At 55.5% G+C, this 16,981-nt stretch overlaps 1 protein-coding gene across 5 annotated transcripts in view, besides 1 other annotated feature; it reads left to right on the forward strand.

The window, feature by feature from the left end:
- CDH4 (cadherin 4) overlaps positions 1-16,981 on the forward strand; it is a 688,357-nt gene that overhangs the window by 605,918 nt on the left and 65,458 nt on the right. For all 5 annotated transcript variants that reach the window (NM_001794.5, XM_047439812.1, XM_047439813.1 and 2 more), the window contains one exon: positions 15,550-15,722. In NM_001794.5, coding sequence (NP_001785.2) covers positions 15,550-15,722 — 173 coding nt within the window. The remainder of the gene's footprint in view (positions 1-15,549; positions 15,723-16,981) is intronic.
- Positions 1,271-1,772: an enhancer, noted in NCBI's record as "H3K4me1 hESC enhancer chr20:60434505-60435006 (GRCh37/hg19 assembly coordinates)". NCBI's record gives its function as "activates a minimal SCP1, AML or CMV promoter by ChIP-STARR-seq in naive H9 embryonic stem cells {active_cell/tissue: H9 hESC(naive)}" and the evidence as "EXISTENCE:reporter gene assay evidence [ECO:0000049][PMID:30033119]".

Below are 16,981 nucleotides of genomic sequence, written 5' to 3' on the forward strand. Positions count from 1 at the left end.
GTGTCTCTGTGTGTGTCTCTGTGTCTATATGTGTGTCTGTGTCTCTGTGTCTGTGTGTCTGTGTCTGTGTGTCTGCGTCTGTGTGTCTGTGTCTATGTGTGTCTGTGTCTGTGTGTGTGTCTCTGTGTCTGTATGTGTGTCTGTGTCTGTCTGTGTCTGTATCTGCGTATGTGTCTCTCTGTGCGTGTCTCTGTGTCTGTATGTGTATCTGTGTCTCTGTGTCTGTGTGTCTGCGTCTGTGTGTGTGTCTGTGTCTATGTGTGTCTCTGTGTCTGTATCTGTGTGTGTCTCTGTGTCTGTGTCTCTGTGTCTGTATGTGTGTGTCTGTGTCTGTGTATCTGTGTCTGTGTGTCTGCGTCTGTGTGTGTGTCTGTGTCTGCATGTGTGTCTGTCTGTGTGCCTCCCATCAACCCTAACCTGTGGCAACCACGACTCTATTTTCATCTGTAGTGTTGTCATTCCAAGGATACTATAGAAATGGAATCACAGCCGTGTGTTCCCTTTTGGGATTGGCTGTTTTCCTGCAGCATCGTTCTCTGGATGTACAGCCAGGTCGTATCCATAGCTCGTTCCTTTCTGTGGCGTAGAATTCCGTGGCCTGGGTGTACCGCGGCTTATGAGCCATCCCCAACTGATGGACGCTGGGCAGTTTCAACTCTGGGCCATGATGAACTGAGCTGCTCTGAGCACCCATTCCTGCATGGGGTCTCGTGTGAACATAAGTTTCCATTTCTCTAGAATGAATGCCCGAGAATGCAATTGTGGGGTCATCTCGGGAGCAGGCGTTTGTTTTGTGGGGAACTTCCATGTTCTCTGCCAGAGGGGCTGCCCCATCGCACACTCATCCCGCCCTCCTGAGAGTCCCGGATTCTCGGCATCCTCACCAGCATCTGACGTTGTCATCACTTTCAACGTTAGCCATTCTAAGAGGTGCATGGTGGCCCCTCGTGGTTTTAATGTGTTTTCCCTCTGGCAAATGGTGCTGAGTGTCTTTTCCTGTGTTTATTGGCATCTGCGTGTCCTCTTCAAGGAAACGACTCTTCATGGCTTTCGTCCATTTCCTACTACGTTATTCTTTTACTGTTGAGTTTTCGGAATTCTTTACGTATTCTAGATACAAGTCCTTTGTCGGATATGTGGTTTGCAAATATTTCTCCCACTCAGTAACTTGTCTTCCATCCTCCCCCCAGGGTCTTTGCGAGCGAAAGTGTTTAATTTGGAGGAAGTCCAGTTTATCCATGCTTCCTCTTACGGAGCAGGCTTCAGCATCAAGTCTGAGAGCTCTTCATCAAGCCCTAGGTTCTGAAAATGCTCTTCTCTGGGTTTTCTAACAGTTGTTTAGGTTTGTAGTTTACGTTAGGTCCATGATTCATTTTGAGTTAATTTTTATATAACATGTGAGATGTAGATCCAGGTGTATTTTTTGCTCATCTCCATATTTTCCATGACTGCCCCAGCGCCATACATTGAAAGGCTGTCCTCCCTCCGGTGAATTGCTTTGACATCTTTGCAGGACATCCATTGGGCACATTTGTGTGGGTCTGTTCCTAGGTTTATTGGTCTGTGTGTCTCCTGCCAACACTGCAGGATGACCGTAGCCTCACGGCCAGCTTCGCTGCCGGGTGGAGGGATGGCTTCGTGGACAGTGTGAGGTGGTCATGCCCTGGCCTTCACCTGTGTCCCTCCACCAGGGTGGGAACATGCACACAGCACTGCCCGTACTCAGCCCCCTCCTCAGCAGGCAGGGGTTCTGCCATGCTGTCCACGGCACTGCCGCGTGACCACAGCATGGCCCTGGGGTGGCCCCAGGCAAGCTCCTTCCCACTGCTTCACACATCTTCAGTAAAAGAACAAGGACAGTGCCTGCCTCATGGGCGGGGAAGGTCAGGGGCAGGCGTCTATGTGGCTCCCGGCAGTGACGCTGTCATTGACAGTGTCCTTATTATCTGCAGCTGTAACTCCTTCATATTAACAGCAACTTAATAATACATTCTGGCTCAAAATATCAGTTCATTTTCCTGACTCCACCAAGGTAATTCTGTCAACTCAAACCTCTCTTAATAAATACAAGACAACTTTGAAAACCACCTATGTTCCAGATTCCTCAGAGCACCGAGGTCCACGGGGTCCTTGCCTGGTCACCCTGCTGGTCTGCCTGGCAATCCCTGTCTTCCCTGAGGGCTGAGCTACACCTCGGATATGCATATTTGTGAATGATCACAAATTCCAAATCAGCCATGTCTGAACGATGCAGTTTTCTGGCCTGGGATGGGCCAACCATGGCCATGCCTGAGGTCTGGTTCCCAGACGCTGGCCTGCCAGGAGGACTTGGGTGCAGGTGATTTATGAAGGACCTGCCTGCTCCCAGGAGATGTCTGGGAGGGAGGAGGAGGTGCAGGATGCCCTGACAAGCAGAAACAGCACCTCAGAAGGGCCCCAATGCAAGGCAAGGTTGCTGGGTTCTGTGCAGGGCCCCAGCAGGTTCTCAGGAGGGGAAGAGGCATCACTGAAAATGACAGTGACCACTGAAGGCGTCTGTCCAGGTGGCATCCAGGCCCCTGCAGGGTTGGCTACAAGCCACAGCTGGTTTCCCCCTCCCGTCTAGAGTAATGGCCCACAGGCTGTGTTTCCCAAGGGCTCCTCCTGCAGGATCCTGGCATTTATATCTGCAGGAGGACTCTGAGACCCATGGAGACCTGTGCTGAGAAACAGCCACCCTTGTCCCCAGGGCAGAGAAGTACCCGGGGGACCCTCTGGCTGTCTGCCTGCAGATCAGCATGCAGCCCCCCAGGGTGCCTTTGGGTCTAAAAAGGTGTGTTCTATTCCTTTGAACTGGACCTTTTGAGAAGAGCAAGCAACAGATGAAAAATAGCTGTGGCCACCACCCTGACCTGAAGCTCACGCACCCGCACCTGCCTCAGCTGTCCACTCTGCCTAGTCCCAAGAACCGCACTGGACGTGGGCTCCGCTGGTCTCCACCGACGATCCCTGCTTCTCTGCACCCAGGGGCAGGGCCAGCAATGAGGCCTAGTGAGGTTCCACGTGGGAAGGACACACCTTCCGCTGAAGATGCGATCATGCGGTCATCACAGAAATGCGGCCGGCGGCATTCATCCACTCGGCCAGGTGCCAGGCACCACTCTTAAGTTCTCCATACAAATCAGCTCACTAAATGCCACGACAGCCCCAGGAAACGGCTAGTTTTATTTCCCCCGCATACAACATGAGGAAGTGAAGGCACCGTTCTGTAACAGTAAAGACCCACAGCAGCTGGGAGGGAAAGGCAAGACTTAGAGGCCAATGGATGGTCTCCTGAACGCCCCTGCTAACCACTCTGCAAACCGCCTCCCCTTCCCCGCCTGTGCGTTAGGAATGCCTTTGGCTGAAAGTCACAGAAAACCCAACCACAGAGAACCCAACCACAGAAAACCCAACCACAGCAGCTTGAACAAGTGGAGGCTGGGGTGAGAGCTCAAGGCGTCGGGCCGAGGCCTGTGTGGTGGTCACCCCGCTTCTCAGTTCTCACCACGTTGTCACGAGGTGGCTGCGGCGCCCCCAAGCGTCACGTACACCATCAGGCAGGAGGGAGGAGGGGGCAATGTGTAGCATGGGCAGTTTCCTGTAGGAAGAAGTCCCAGGTGGCTGTGTTGTCCTGTGGGTAAGGTGGGCATCTTAGCTGGGTGCTGCGGAGGGCACCAGGTGGGAACGCAGGAACCCCACCCTCCAGAAGCGCACTGTCCCGTTGAGAAACCCAGAGATACATCCGCTCCTCAAGGTGCAGGCCTCACACCTGGGGAAAGGCAGGGAAGCAAACGTCCCAGGCCACTGTGAACGGGAAGCGCCTTTCCCTGTCCCCGGGCCCTGGCAAAGGCTGTGCCCTCAGCCCAGGGCGCTGTCCCCCACGCTCTGCGCCAGCTCCTTTCCTCCTGCAGCTCACAGCCACTTCTGCACAGATGTCTTGCCCTGGCCTCTCCCCCAGGCAGCCCCCTCCATGCCCTGGGCGACTCCCTTGACACCCGGAGAGTCACTCAGGTGGCTGTTGGTCTCCACCACCGGGTTCCAGTTCTGAGCACAGAGACCCCATCTCCTCCTTCACCCTTGCCGTGGAGGCTGCAGGGAGAGCCCAGCCTCAGCCTGACCCCGGGGGCAGCTCTCAAGCCTTGATGACACCTCAGACGTGTCCCAGCACTAGCTCCTGGTTCTCCCAAGGTGGACTCATTCTGCAAGATGGGCAGGAGTCCATGAGGACCTCCTTGGCGGGGGCGGTCCTTGATGGACAGGTGGGGTCCACACAGGTGCAGAGGGAGGCAGATGTCTGCCAGGCCCACTGTGAGGCCAGGCGTCTCGTCCAGGGCAGGAGGGCAGTGGACAGCCAGCCTGCCATCCGTACTGCCTGGTCCCCTGGACCCCTCGCTCCCCATCACTGACCAGTGACTGTTTTCCACCGCTGTCCCCCGCAGCATCAGAGAACGAGCTCTCAGGGCTCGGGAACTCACCCAGGCTCTCAGCATTTCTCAAAGTGCCCAGGGAAAGACACCTCCGTATTGATGATTTTTTAACTAAAAAGGGCTCTAATCGGGATGTGCTACTTCCTCTAACCCCTCGTAACTGTGTGGGGCCTATATTATAAGTTTTGAAATTAATGTCATTTTAAAATATTAAAAAGCAGGGAAATCTGCGTGCTGCAAATGAAGTCAAAGAGACCTTCATCTATACAGCACCGAGTTTTTGCTTAAACAGATTATTCTATTAGTGGGCCCCGTTTATTTATTTATTTTCTTTCTTTGCCGGCAGAAGTCCCCCTGAGGTTAATGCACAGATGGCACTAGATACTTGAAAGTCGTCTGAATATTAAGAATTTAAATCTCTAGCCTCAGTGATTTGAACAGAAAGCCAATTATGGGGCTGAATTAGTTTTCAAATTAAACTGCAATTGAAGGCTTGTGAAATTAATCCTTTAAGGCGCATGGCAGCGTTGGTACATGAATTCCGAGAAAGAGCCGAGCCTGGCAGCCTCCGCTGTCTCCCCCTTTACCTGTTAGCACGATCCGTAAGGAGGTGTCCAGCATCTCCCACGTGAAAGACGAGGCTGTTCCTCACCTGCAGCCGGGGCGGGGGATGCTGTCCCAACTCGCTGCTTCCTTGATGGGGAAATACTCAGGTCTGTCTGCTGGGGGAGAAGGAGGTGGAAAGAGGCCTCCAGAGAAAGCCCTAGAAAGATGGTTTCCTTCTCATTCTCAAAGCCCACGGGGCAGGAGAACTCACCTGGGCACCCCAGGTTAGCGCAGATGCCACTGGGTGACCGTTCCTCGGCAGAGGGCACAGGTGAGGGACTGCTGGCCACATCTTTCCTGCAGGGAGCCCAGTTTCAGGATTTACAGCCTCTGTGGAACGGAGCCCTGCAGGGCTCGCACTTGAGCATGGCCCAGATCCTGCGTCACTGGAGAAGCGAGAGGGCCAGTGGGGACACGGGGATCCAGGTTCCCACTTCCCAGACACCAGAGCCAGCACTGCTTACAGCACAGGAAGGAGGCCAGAGGGACAGAGCAGCTCTAGGTGCAGAGGAGGAGCCGAGGCTCCCGGAGGTGAAGCGAGGGTGCAGAGCCATGAGGCTGGGATGGCTGCTCTAGTGCCAAGCCCCACCTGGCCTCCAAAGTCACCCAGGGCCACAGAGGCTCCTGCGGATGGAAAGAGGCCCCCGTCTCCTCCCAGCCTTACCAGCATGGGTTTCCAGACACTGCCTGCCTCAGCTTCAGCTTAGCCCTTGGGCGGGTGGACTGGAGCCCTGCCCCACAATTCACATCCATCCAGCACTTCAGAATGTGACCTTATTCAAAAATAGTTCTTTGCAGACATTTTGTTAAGATGAGGCCAGTAGGGTGGGCCCTGAATCCAATGACTGTTTTCCTTCTAACAAGAGGACAAGACACAGGGCAGGGCCTAAGACGGTGGAGGCAGAGGCTGGAGTGACGTGGCCACAAGCCCAGGAGCACCCAAGTTGGACGGTGCCCCAACCCCAGGAGCTGGAAGGGCCAGGGCAGGGCTGCTGGCGTTGAGCCCTGTGTGCTGGTGCTGCCTCCTGGCCTCTGGAGCTGACGGGGCCAGTTCTGTTGCTTCAAGCTCCCCATCTGCGGTGCTTTGGCACAGCAGCCCAGGAGACCAGTGCAGTCCCCTTTGGGGAGAAGCCTGGGGAACCCCCTGGTTTCGCCCACTTCCCTCCCCATGCAGCCAGAAACCCTGTCCATCGAACATCCTGCCACTTGGAGCCTGTGGGGAACGCAGCACATGCCCCCAGAAACACAAGAAAACACATTGCTGGGAGAGGGCTGTGTGACCCAAGCCACAGAGACCACGTCTGCTGATCCCAGGATCCTGGAGCGGCCACTGTGGCTCAGGGACTCCAGACACAAGGGGCCGTGGATCCAGTGAGGTCAGAGGCACCGCAGCTCCCTCTCCAGGACACACTCACTCAACTCCCAGAGCCAAGCCCTTGCCAGCGCGGACGGCGCCCATGAGAGGACCGAGGGGGAGGTGGCCCCAGCTTCCCGGGCAGACCCTTATGAGACAAACCCGATTATCTCCACCCATCATTCCCTCCTGAATCCACTGACAAACCAGCCCTGGTGAGTTCGCTGGGGCCTCCCAGGGCAAGGCCAAGTGCAGCAGTTGTCCTGTTGCCCTTGACCCCTGGCTGTGGTCCTCTCTGGGGCTGCACGGGGCCACTCTCCTGCCCTGTCACCCCCCCGGGTCCTGGCTTTCTCTCCAGTCTGCTGTGCAGCAGAGCCTCCAGGGCTCTGTGCCACACCTGGGGCATTTTCTGCCTAAATCCACCCCTGAGTGGATTCGAGGCAGCCTCGTGAACTTCAATCTGTGTGCGCCCAGACCTCATGCCCCGACCCCTGCCTGGCCTCTCCCTGTGCTCCCACCCCTGCCCCTGCCCCCCAACAGCTCTGCCAGGTACCCCTCCTGCCACCCTGCATCCCTCGCTGCATCCGGCAGGAGGCAGTGAGCTGACTTCCTGGCTAGTTAATGTAGGTGATGAACTGACTTCCTGGCTGATTAGTGTAGGTGATGAGCTGGCTTCTGGGGATGGTTAGTGTAGATGATGGACTGACTTCTTGGAATGGTTTATGCAGGTGATAACTGACTTCCTGGCTGGTTAGTGTAGATAATGGGCTGGCTTCCTGAATGGTTAGTATAGATAATGGTTGGCTTCCTGGCTGATTAGTGTAGATGATAGGTTGCTTCCTGGCTGGTTTGTGTATGTAATGGGTTAGTTTCCTGTACTGGTTAGTGTAGATGATACCTGGCATCCTGGGTGGTTAGTGTATGTAATGGGTTAGTTCCTGGGCTAGTTAGTGTAGATTATAGCTGGCTTCCTGGCTGGTTAGTGTAGATGATAGGTCGCTTCCTGGCTCATTAGTGTATGTAATGGGTTAGGTTCCTAGACTGGTTAGTGTAGATGATACCTGGCTTCCTGGCTGGTTAGTGTAGATGATAGCTGTCTTCCTGGCTGGTTTGTGTATGTAATGGGTTAGTTTCCTGGACAGGTTAGTGTAGATGATAGCTGGCTTCCTGACTGGTTAGTGTATGTAATGGGTTAGTTTCCTGAGCTAGTTAGTGTAGATGATAGCTGGCTTCCTGGCTGGTTTGTGTATATAATGGGTTAGTTTCCTTGGTTAGTGTAGATGATAGCTGGCTTCCTGGCTGGTTAGTGTAGGTAATGGCTTAGTTTCCTGGGCTGCTTACTGCAGGTGTGGTCAGAATTCTATTTTTATATTTGATCTGGTCATTGCTCGTGTTTATATTGAACATCTTAGCAGCACCTGGGATCATACGGTACCCTGTCACCACCAGCATCCTGGCACTGAGGTCATCAAGGGACCGAAGTTTCCTACCTGGAGGACCCTCAGTTGTTCTGTAGTGGCCACACCACCCCCTGGCATGGGGGATTTTGCCCAGAGGACCCTCGGTGCCACCCCCTGGCATGGGGGATTTTGTTTATGAGCTTCAGCCCCTGGGGTATACACAACATAGGTCTCAATGCTTGGCACAGAGGGATGTTCAGTAAATATTTGTTCCAGGCCCTACTCTGCTCTCAGAAACGATGTCAGCTTGGACAGCCAGGGTTTTCCACACCTGCGATTTTTTCCTTAGGATAAACTCCTAGCAGTGAATTTGCTGAGTGGGCACATTTTGAAGGGTTTTGTGTATGCACAGCTAAACCGCCTCTGAGAAGCTGAGGCCTCCCCCTCCCCCCGGAGGCCATGGAAGGGGCCAGCTGCCCTCTGTGCCATCACGATTAGGTACCATCATTATTTTAAAGTAGCTTTTGCACATTTGACATGTGGAAAATGTCTTCCTTTCATTTCTTTGATCAATAATAAAGTTGGTTTTAAAAAGAAGGAGAAGCAGCAGAAAGCCCATCTGTGTTAAAGATGTACGATCCAGACCCTTTGGCAAGAGGGCTACACCCCAGCGTTCCAGCAGGTGTGTTGGGTGTGAGACGGTCAGTGCCTTCTCCTCATTGTGCCTTTAGATGTTTCCCGGTGAGCGTGTGCTAGTTATCATGAGTGTGTTTTATTTCTGCATCCAGAAAAGAATTCTCAAAAGTGTGTCATTTGGCCTTAAAAAGCAGATTCCTGAACGTAGCAAAAAGAAAAAAGCGTAGATGCCTAGATGGAGCATGTTTTCGCAGTTGGCCGGAAAGCAGGGAGCGGTCCTTGTTGCCAGAGAGTGGGATCCTGAGCCACCTCCCAAAGAGGGGCCTCCCAAAGAGGGGCCCTGCCGTCGCCCTTTCCCGGGAAGGAGATGATGCCGACGGCTGGGGGTGGTTCTTAAGAGCAGCGTCCATCCTCAGGGAGCATCCAGTGAGGAACCAGCAGGAGAGAGACGGGTGGAGGCTGCCTTCCAGGTGCCCACACACACACAGCTGTTTCCAGAACACTCGCTCTGGGCGCATGCATGTTTGACTCTGAGCCTGGGATTTTGAAGCCCTGCTCTCCCTTCCTGAAACACTGACACCCTGGCTTTGCCAGTCCAGGCACTGTGTCAGAAGCAGGGGACCTCCCCTCAAAGAGCTTATGATAGGCCAGGCACGGTAGCTCACACCTGTAATCCCAGCACTTTGGGAGGCCAAGGCAGGTGGATCACCTAAGCTCAGGAGTTCAAGACCAGCCTGACCAACATGGAGAAACCCCATCTCTACTAAAAACACAAAAATTAGTCGGGCATGTTGGTGCACTCCTGTGATCTCAGCTACTTGGGAGGCTGAGGCAGGGGAATCAGTTGAACCCAGGAGGTGAAGGCTGCAGTGAACAAAGATCATGCCACTGCCCTCCTGCCTGGGCGACAGAGCAAGACTCCATCCAAAAAAAAAAAAAAGAGAGAGAGAGAGCTTATGATAAAATTGAGCCCAAGTAAAGTGGGGGATTCCTGGGTGCTCATCACATTTTCCTCCTCCCCCCAGGCCCCTCCTCCTGTGCCCTGGAGGTGGCCAGCAGCTCTAAGTGCAGGATTTGCCTCCTGAGGCAGGAGGCGAGCAGAGGAGGGCACCATGGCATTGGTTTAAAGCCATTACTGTCTTGAGTTAATGAAGAGCTAATGTGATAAAAGCCACTGCAAGCTTCTAATGAGCAGTCCTTTCCACGGGGGAGTGGGTGCGTAAACTAAGGTGGCCCACGAGGCGCGATGCATCTGCCAAGGTGAGCTGAGTTCCGATGACTCCGGCCATCTCAGAACGTCCAGGCTCTTCTCTGTGAGGAAGACATTCTATTTCTGCAAAAACTCCACCACATGGAAATGGGGATATTGTTGCTTGCATCAGATGTAAGGGGTGCAATTATTCGTAACCAAAAAGCAGGCAGAGACTTGGACCCCTGATCAATATCCGATTAGTGCTTGGTTAATGAGCATAAACCGCAGAATGGATCAGTCCTTCAAGTCAGACATGTGGAGTTTCCACGCTGGAGGACTCTGGGGTCTGGGCCAGGGCCACCAGCTCATCCCACGGTGGGGGTGCAGAGGGGGTTCGTCCACGCCAGGACCCCTTCCCAGGGCGGGCATCCTGGGGCCGTCTGTGTTCCGTGGTACAGAGACGCGGGAATGCTGTAGATGGGAGGGAATTCAGTCCAAGGGAACCCTCTACAGCTGTAGGCCTGAGCAGGACCTCTGAGGAGTCAGAGGGGAGGCAGCCTGGCTGGTTCCTGCCGCAGAGGCCCAGCTTCTAATGGGGCAGGGGCCAACAAGGGGTGAGAGGCACAGACAGCTTGGTAGGTGGGGACCCGGACAGCTCCACAGTATTCAGCATCATAGACAGTAGAGGGAAGGGCCAGCATCTCAACTCCCAAACCCACAACAGGCCATAAACCCTGCTGTCATCAGCCTTAAGGCAAACCAGGCGATTATACCTCCATGCTGGGCAGATGTCCCCTCCACGCTGGCTGAGTGTCCCTCCATGCTAAGCGGTGTCCTCCATGCTGGGCGGATGTCCCCTCCACACTGGCCGGGTGTCCCTCCACTCTGGGCAGGTGTCCCCCCACACTGGGCAGGTGTCCTCCTCCCTGGCCAGCTGGGTGCTTTCCTCCTGTGCTGGAGCTGCCTCTCCTCTTGTCACCTGGTTTCCCCACCATGTATTCCAGAGGGGAGGGCGGGAGACGGGGAGCTCTGAGCACACGTGGGGAAGCCCCATCCCAGCCGGGCACACCTGGCCCCCACTGAGCCAAGCCTCCAGCTGTGGCACCTGCAGCTCACAGGCTGTGGTGGACACACACAAAGCCTCTAGACGTGGCAAACGTGGCAGGCTGTGGTGGACACACACAAAGCCTCTAGACGTGGCAAACGTGGCAAGTGCCTTCAAGGAGCTCAACTTATTGAATGAAGGACTGGCCTTTATTCTGAGACTAAGTCTTTCCTATGATTTTGATGGTAAAACATTATTTTCCTTTCATGAAACATTTGAGCTAGATGTATACTTTAAGGTCTTCCCTTGGTAGAACTAGAAGTTGGCAACCCTATATTGATTCCCCTGTATTTTTAAAAACCAATGTTGTCCCTGAAATCCAAAAAAAGAGCATACAGCAGAGGTCAGCAAACCACCGGCCAAACACAGCTCAGCACCTGCTTCTGTGAATGGTTTGATGGGAACACAGCCGTGCCCATTGCTGGACGCATCCTCTCAGGCTGCTTCTGTGCAGCTTTGAGGAGTTGGAACAGGGAATGTGTGCCCGCAAAGCCTGACATACATACTGTCCAGCCCTTTACAGAAAGTGTCTGCTGGACCCTGGAGGAGAGCGTGGCTGCTTTCAGTCTGGGTCTAGCAGAGCTCACTGGACCCAGCCACGTTCCTCGTCTGTGGGATTCAGTTTCCCCATCTGTCAAAAAAGGAGGTGGCCCAGTCAGGGTCCCAAAGGTCTGTTTCCAGCCTCCCGCTGACTTCCCATTCCACACATCCCACCTGGCCCCTCCTCAATGCCAAACCCTCTCACGTCCACATCCTGGCCCGCCTTTTCCCCAGGTCCCCAAGCCTCCAAGGGGGCTTAGTCCTCCTCCCTACATGAAATCACACAGCAGCAGGCCCCTTCCGCCGAGGGACTGCTTGGAGGAGGCAGCTTCGATTGGTGGGGGAGGACCTCCTGCCTGGCCTTCGGGGACCGAGGAGTCCTTCAGGAGAGATCAGCTGGAAATGCCACTCCACATTCCATCCTCAGTGGGGAGAGCTGGGCCCCAGTGGGCAGGGAGTTCCCATGATGTCGTGAGGTTATCTGAGTCCTGTGGAGGCGGAGGAGGGGGACCTCTGTGGTGGGAGGCTCCCAGCCGTTCTGCTAATGTGATTTCTCAGTGATATGGTGGATCAGGGCAGGCACTCAAAGGGAGTACGCGGGTCTCTGCCTCACAGTGGATCAGTAACCCTGAGGTGCTGGGAGTCCTGGGCTGACTCGCTGTCCCTCCACCTCCCCCAGCCAGTAGGGCTGAGTGGAGAAGAGCTCCAAGCCCAGATCCTGGACCCCAGCCCTGCTCCACCGCTGTCCGATGCGTGACTGGCCCGAGTTCCTGCACGTGGGCAGCAGGCCATCCGTGAGATTTCTCTGAGACATGACAAACCCATGCACAAAAGACCCTCGGGCCAGCTGGGCACAGGGTGGGGACCCAGGAATGGCGGTAGGGGCTGGGGCAGGGTGAGGAAGAGGCCAAGGCCGTCAGAAGGGCTCCGCATCCCCATCCAGCCCGAGAGACCGTCATTCTCAGAAACCAGGCTGGCTGTGCTGCTTTCAGTGAGTACAACAGACAGTGCCCGATCCCTTCTTCCCTCACTGGTCAGGGCTTTGCTTCTCTCCCTCCACCTTCTGCATGTCCCTGCCATCATCCTGCCACCCCCACCATCAAGCTACTGGGCCCCTTTCTGCGACAGGCATGTGGATCCTCACAGGTTTCACAGACGAAAATGCCGGGGGCCACGGGTGGAGGGGAACAGTGAGTGCTTCGGGAAGCTGGAGTGGCTTCTCCCTTTGACTTTCTGAACCAGATGAGCCAAATGCGGTCACCACCGACCCCCATGACTTTCCCAGCTCTGCCCTTTCGTAGAGATGGGTGGTTTCAAATAGTGCCTGATGCGCCAACATTGGCTTCACTTGCTCGGGGATTCCTGGCTTGATGAAGGCTGAACGTTAGTAACACCGCCCTGGTCAGACCCACCATCTGCTTTGCAAATGAAATTCTGCAGGTGTTTGTTCTGGTGTTTCGGTAAGCAGCTTTAAAACCCTCACGAGGCAAAGTTATTTTTGTTTATACAAGTCATATTCCTTAGACGCACCAGTGTATTTATCCTTTATATAAACATTACGTATATGTATATTTATAGGATGTGTGTGTGTGTGTGTGTGTGTGTGTACATATCAGAGAGAGAGACAGAGACAGAGCTCCTCATATCTTTCTGCATTTCCAAGGTGCCCTCTAGAATCATTTTCCTTCTGCCTGAAAACACCCTTAGTATTTCCTCTAGTGTGGGTCTCCAGGTGGTAATTTTTTGTTTTATCATTTATCACATTTAGTGTCTATTTTTCACTTTTATTTTAGAAAGTTTTTTTCACTGAATAATGAATGCCAGGCTCCTCGTGAGTTCCTTGTATTCCATTGTTTTCCAGCTTCCATCGTTCCTGTTGAGAAGTCAGCTTGAAGTCTTCTCATTGCCACATTGAAAGTTTTGTGCTCTTTTAAAAAGGAGGCTGTGTGTGATGTTATCCCTCTCCACGAATGATTTCTTTTTGCTGCTAAGTAGGGGACGCTAACAATCACAGAGAACCTCAGCCTAAGTTACTGCAGTTAGCTCTGCGCGTGTGTTAGGACTGTTTCTTCCCAGTTCACCCTCACTCCTAGGGTGCTGCACTTCAGGGTTTTCCTCTTAGGAAAATGCAGAGGAAAGCCAGCACAGAGGGAGGGGGATGTCTCTTTAGAGGGGAGTATGGTTGGGACCAGGCTTGTTGTGCTCTAAAGTGGTGGGGACATCGTGATGGGGGCAAGGATCATCGGGGTGGGGTCCCTAGTTCCAGAGGCTGATGGTCGCCAGGCCACGGCCCCTCCCACCCGTTTGCTTACTGCATAAATCTGTTTGATTGAACTATAATTCACGTGCCATACAGCTTGCTCTTTGAAGTGCTCCTGCCTCCGCTTGTTTTTCTGTGTTTTCATGAAACGTGTCTGCTTTGAGAATTTTGCATTCAGTAGAAGCTGAAAGCTGAAGCAAACTCCTAGTCAGACACACCCAGGGTTCCCCTGCATCCCACCTGGGCTTGTCCTGCCTGGGTGGAAGGCCAGAGTGGCGGTCTTCTCTGCAGGGCTGCAGAGGGAGGGCGAGGTGGGGGAGGGGCGAGGGGGAAGGCTCCCTGCCTGCTCTGGGGTCCTGGAAATAAGCAGTAGCTTCGGGCTCCTCGCAGACCCTGCCTCCTGAGCATGAGGCCGCCCCGCACCCTGGGCTTCTGGCACAGTCCAGCAAATGTCCAACAGGGCATCTGTGTGCCAGGTCACAGGGACAGCATGGACCCAGCCCCGCCCTTGTGGTGGCTGTAATCCCACAGAGGACATAGACAATAAGTAGACACACAGCTGTTTCAATGCAGGTGAGATGAGGATGCACAGGGCCCCATGACTCAGTCCAGAGGGCCAGGACGGGGCTTTGGGGATGAGGAGGAGTTGGCCAGGTGGAGGAGAGGGAAGAACGTTCCAGATGCAGAACAGATTGTGCAAGATCCCAAGGCTGGTGTGGCGAGAGTCCTTCATCTCATGCACACGGGAACGAGCACCTCGGGTCTCTCTGAGACTGCCACCCCGCACCTGGCCCGCCGCATGACCCCAGCCCCGTCAGCCAGGGGAGGCACTGCACAGGTAGAGGTTGCACCATCCCCAGGGCCCAGCAGGGCACCAGCAGCTCTCCTCTGTGCATGAACGCTGCAGGGCCGGGCACCCGAGCTTCCAGAGTTCTGGGGCATCTCAGGCAGCCAGCAGGGCAAGCTGAGCACACACGTGTGCAGAGCCAGGGCAGGAACACCGGAAGGTGGCGGGCAGAGTCCAGCCCCAGGACTTCCAGGTGAGAGAGCCCGCCGTGCCAGCATCAGGAGACAGCAGTCAGGAGCTCACAGAGCGGGGCCTCCACCGGGTACAGCGCTAGCACAGAGTTGGTGCTCAGTAGGCAGGGACTAAAGCCCCCACCCACCACTGCTCCCAGCAGAGCTTGGTCCTCAGACCTGGAGATGTCCTGAGGCCACAGGGTGGGGCGTGCTGATGCAGGCCCTCCCCAGGGCAGGAAAGGCTGCACAGCCAAAGAAAAGCCAAGTGCCATTCTCAGAAAGTGGGGAATGTGCCAGAGTGCACTATAGACCTCAACCCCAATGTGTGCATGGGGAAACTGAGGCACCAAGCTGAGAGAGCACATGGGCAGCTCACCGAGCCCCTCTGAAATGCCAGCGGCCCCCAGTCCCAGGGCGCCCCCAGATGTGCTCCATCTGACGGAGTCCTATAGGCACAGCCTCCCTGCTCAGAGTCCCTTCTAGGTTTGTTTTCCACTGTGTCCTCTGCAGTGTTTATTATACAGCTTCTGTGTGTCCAGACCTATACCAGGCCCTGCTTCAGTGCCTGAGTCCCTTCCTTTAAGCCCAACCACACTGGGCTCCCTGCAGGAGTGGAAGCACCTTGGACGCACTGTCGGGGCCTCAGGCCACCCGGCTCCAGGCCTGCTCTGCTGCCCCAGGCTCTGGAAGCTTAGAGAAGTTCTTCCTCCTCCGAGGCCTGGTCTTTCCCCAGCCAAAAAAGGAAGAGGTCAGAGCAGATGACCTCAAAGGAACCTCAAGCTCTAGAAGAAATCCTTCTATGATTCTATAAGGTGGGGTGGAGGCGGCAGGTGCACTAACACCACCTCTGAACACGCCGAGAGGAAGGGGGTTCCGCTACGCCAGACTCACGGAGAGCTCTGTGGTCGGGGGGCTCTGCCCAGGTGTGTGCGGGGGTGGCAGCCTGTGTGGCAGGCCATCCCCATCTGAGCTGCTGTCTCCGTTCCAGGCACCTACGTGATGACCGTCACGGCCAACGATGCTGACGACAGCACCACGGCCAACGGGATGGTGCGGTACCGGATCGTGACCCAGACCCCACAGAGCCCGTCCCAGAATATGTTCACCATCAACAGCGAGACTGGAGATATCGTCACAGTGGCGGCTGGCCTGGACCGAGAGGTGAGGCGGGGTGGGGTCTGCGTGCAGGCGGGTGAGCTCCTGGTCCCCGCAGGACACCCACAGGACCCTCGGGGAGCCTCTCCAGTGGCGCCGTCGGGGAGTGATCGACAGTCTCCCCAGTGGCACTCTCTTGCCATGGGAGAGACTCAGCAAAGGAGGCTCTGGAGCACTCAGCACCGGCTGCTATGAGCGAGTCCTTGTGAGATTTCCAGAACAGGCCCAGCTGGTGCGTGTGGCTATGGGCGGAGGCCTCAGAAAAGCAGGGACCACCCGCTGGGGTCTCGGGGTCTAGCCGCAGCTGCACTCGGGGTCTGGGGTGCTCTGACAGCCCCTCTCAGGACCTGAACACACACGCCTGCCTTGAAACCCACCCCTTCTGGGCCTGGCACCTCCAAGGAGACCCACCCCACCCAGGCTGCGGCGGCCTGGCTGTGACGAAGGGGGCATGGAGAAGCAGTGCTTTTCACACAGCCTGAAACCATCACAGCCAAATGAATGGGCTGCTGGTTGGTGCTGGGTTCCATGCGCTCCCACCTCCTGCACTGTCCTGCGGTCCTACGAGGCTTTTGTGACAGAGGCCTCCCTCCACCCCTTCATCTCAAGTGCCCGCCCCACTCAGAGACAGACCCCAGAGGGAGGCCCTGGGCGGTGGGTGAGGTCGGGGGCCTGCCTCTGCTCTGAAGCTTGTCAAGTGCAGGCGCATCTCCAGCACTGGGCTGTGCGTTCCCAGAAGATTCACCACCCGCCCCTGGGGCTGAAAGCGCCCCACCAGCAGCACCTTGAGTCCCCAGGTGCCCAGGACAGGGCATCGCCTGCCTTCCCCATCTCCAGGTCTCGCTGTCTGGTCTCCTGTTTGCACTGTGCCCACAGAGGCCAGTGTCATTCCAGACGTAATTTACCCTCTGAGGCATTTGGCTCCCAGGAGCCGGTAGAGCCACCTCGCTGGGCTCACAGCCAGTGCAGCCCTGCCCGCGGGAGGCTTGTTTCCAGAGGCCACAGCGCCACTTTCTGGCAGCTCCTCGGTCTTGCTGGCCTCAACCCTTCTGCTCCAAGTTGGCGGCTTCTGAGTGCGTCACGGCCCTCGAGCTCTGGGTGTGCGGGGACCCCACTGCAAGCTGGGGCTGCCAACCTGTCACCGGGGCTTGCTGGTGTCGCTTTTGGGGCCGGGACTGGCAAGGAAGTGGCAGGTCCTCCTTCCAGGTTTGGGGCTGTGGGACCCCCCGGGGCCTCCAGTTTCTGCCTCTTCTCCAAAAACCAAG

Source organism: Homo sapiens, chromosome 20 (genome assembly GCF_000001405.40).
Source record: "Homo sapiens chromosome 20, GRCh38.p14 Primary Assembly".
NCBI classification, from domain to species: Eukaryota; Metazoa; Chordata; class Mammalia; order Primates; family Hominidae; genus Homo; species Homo sapiens.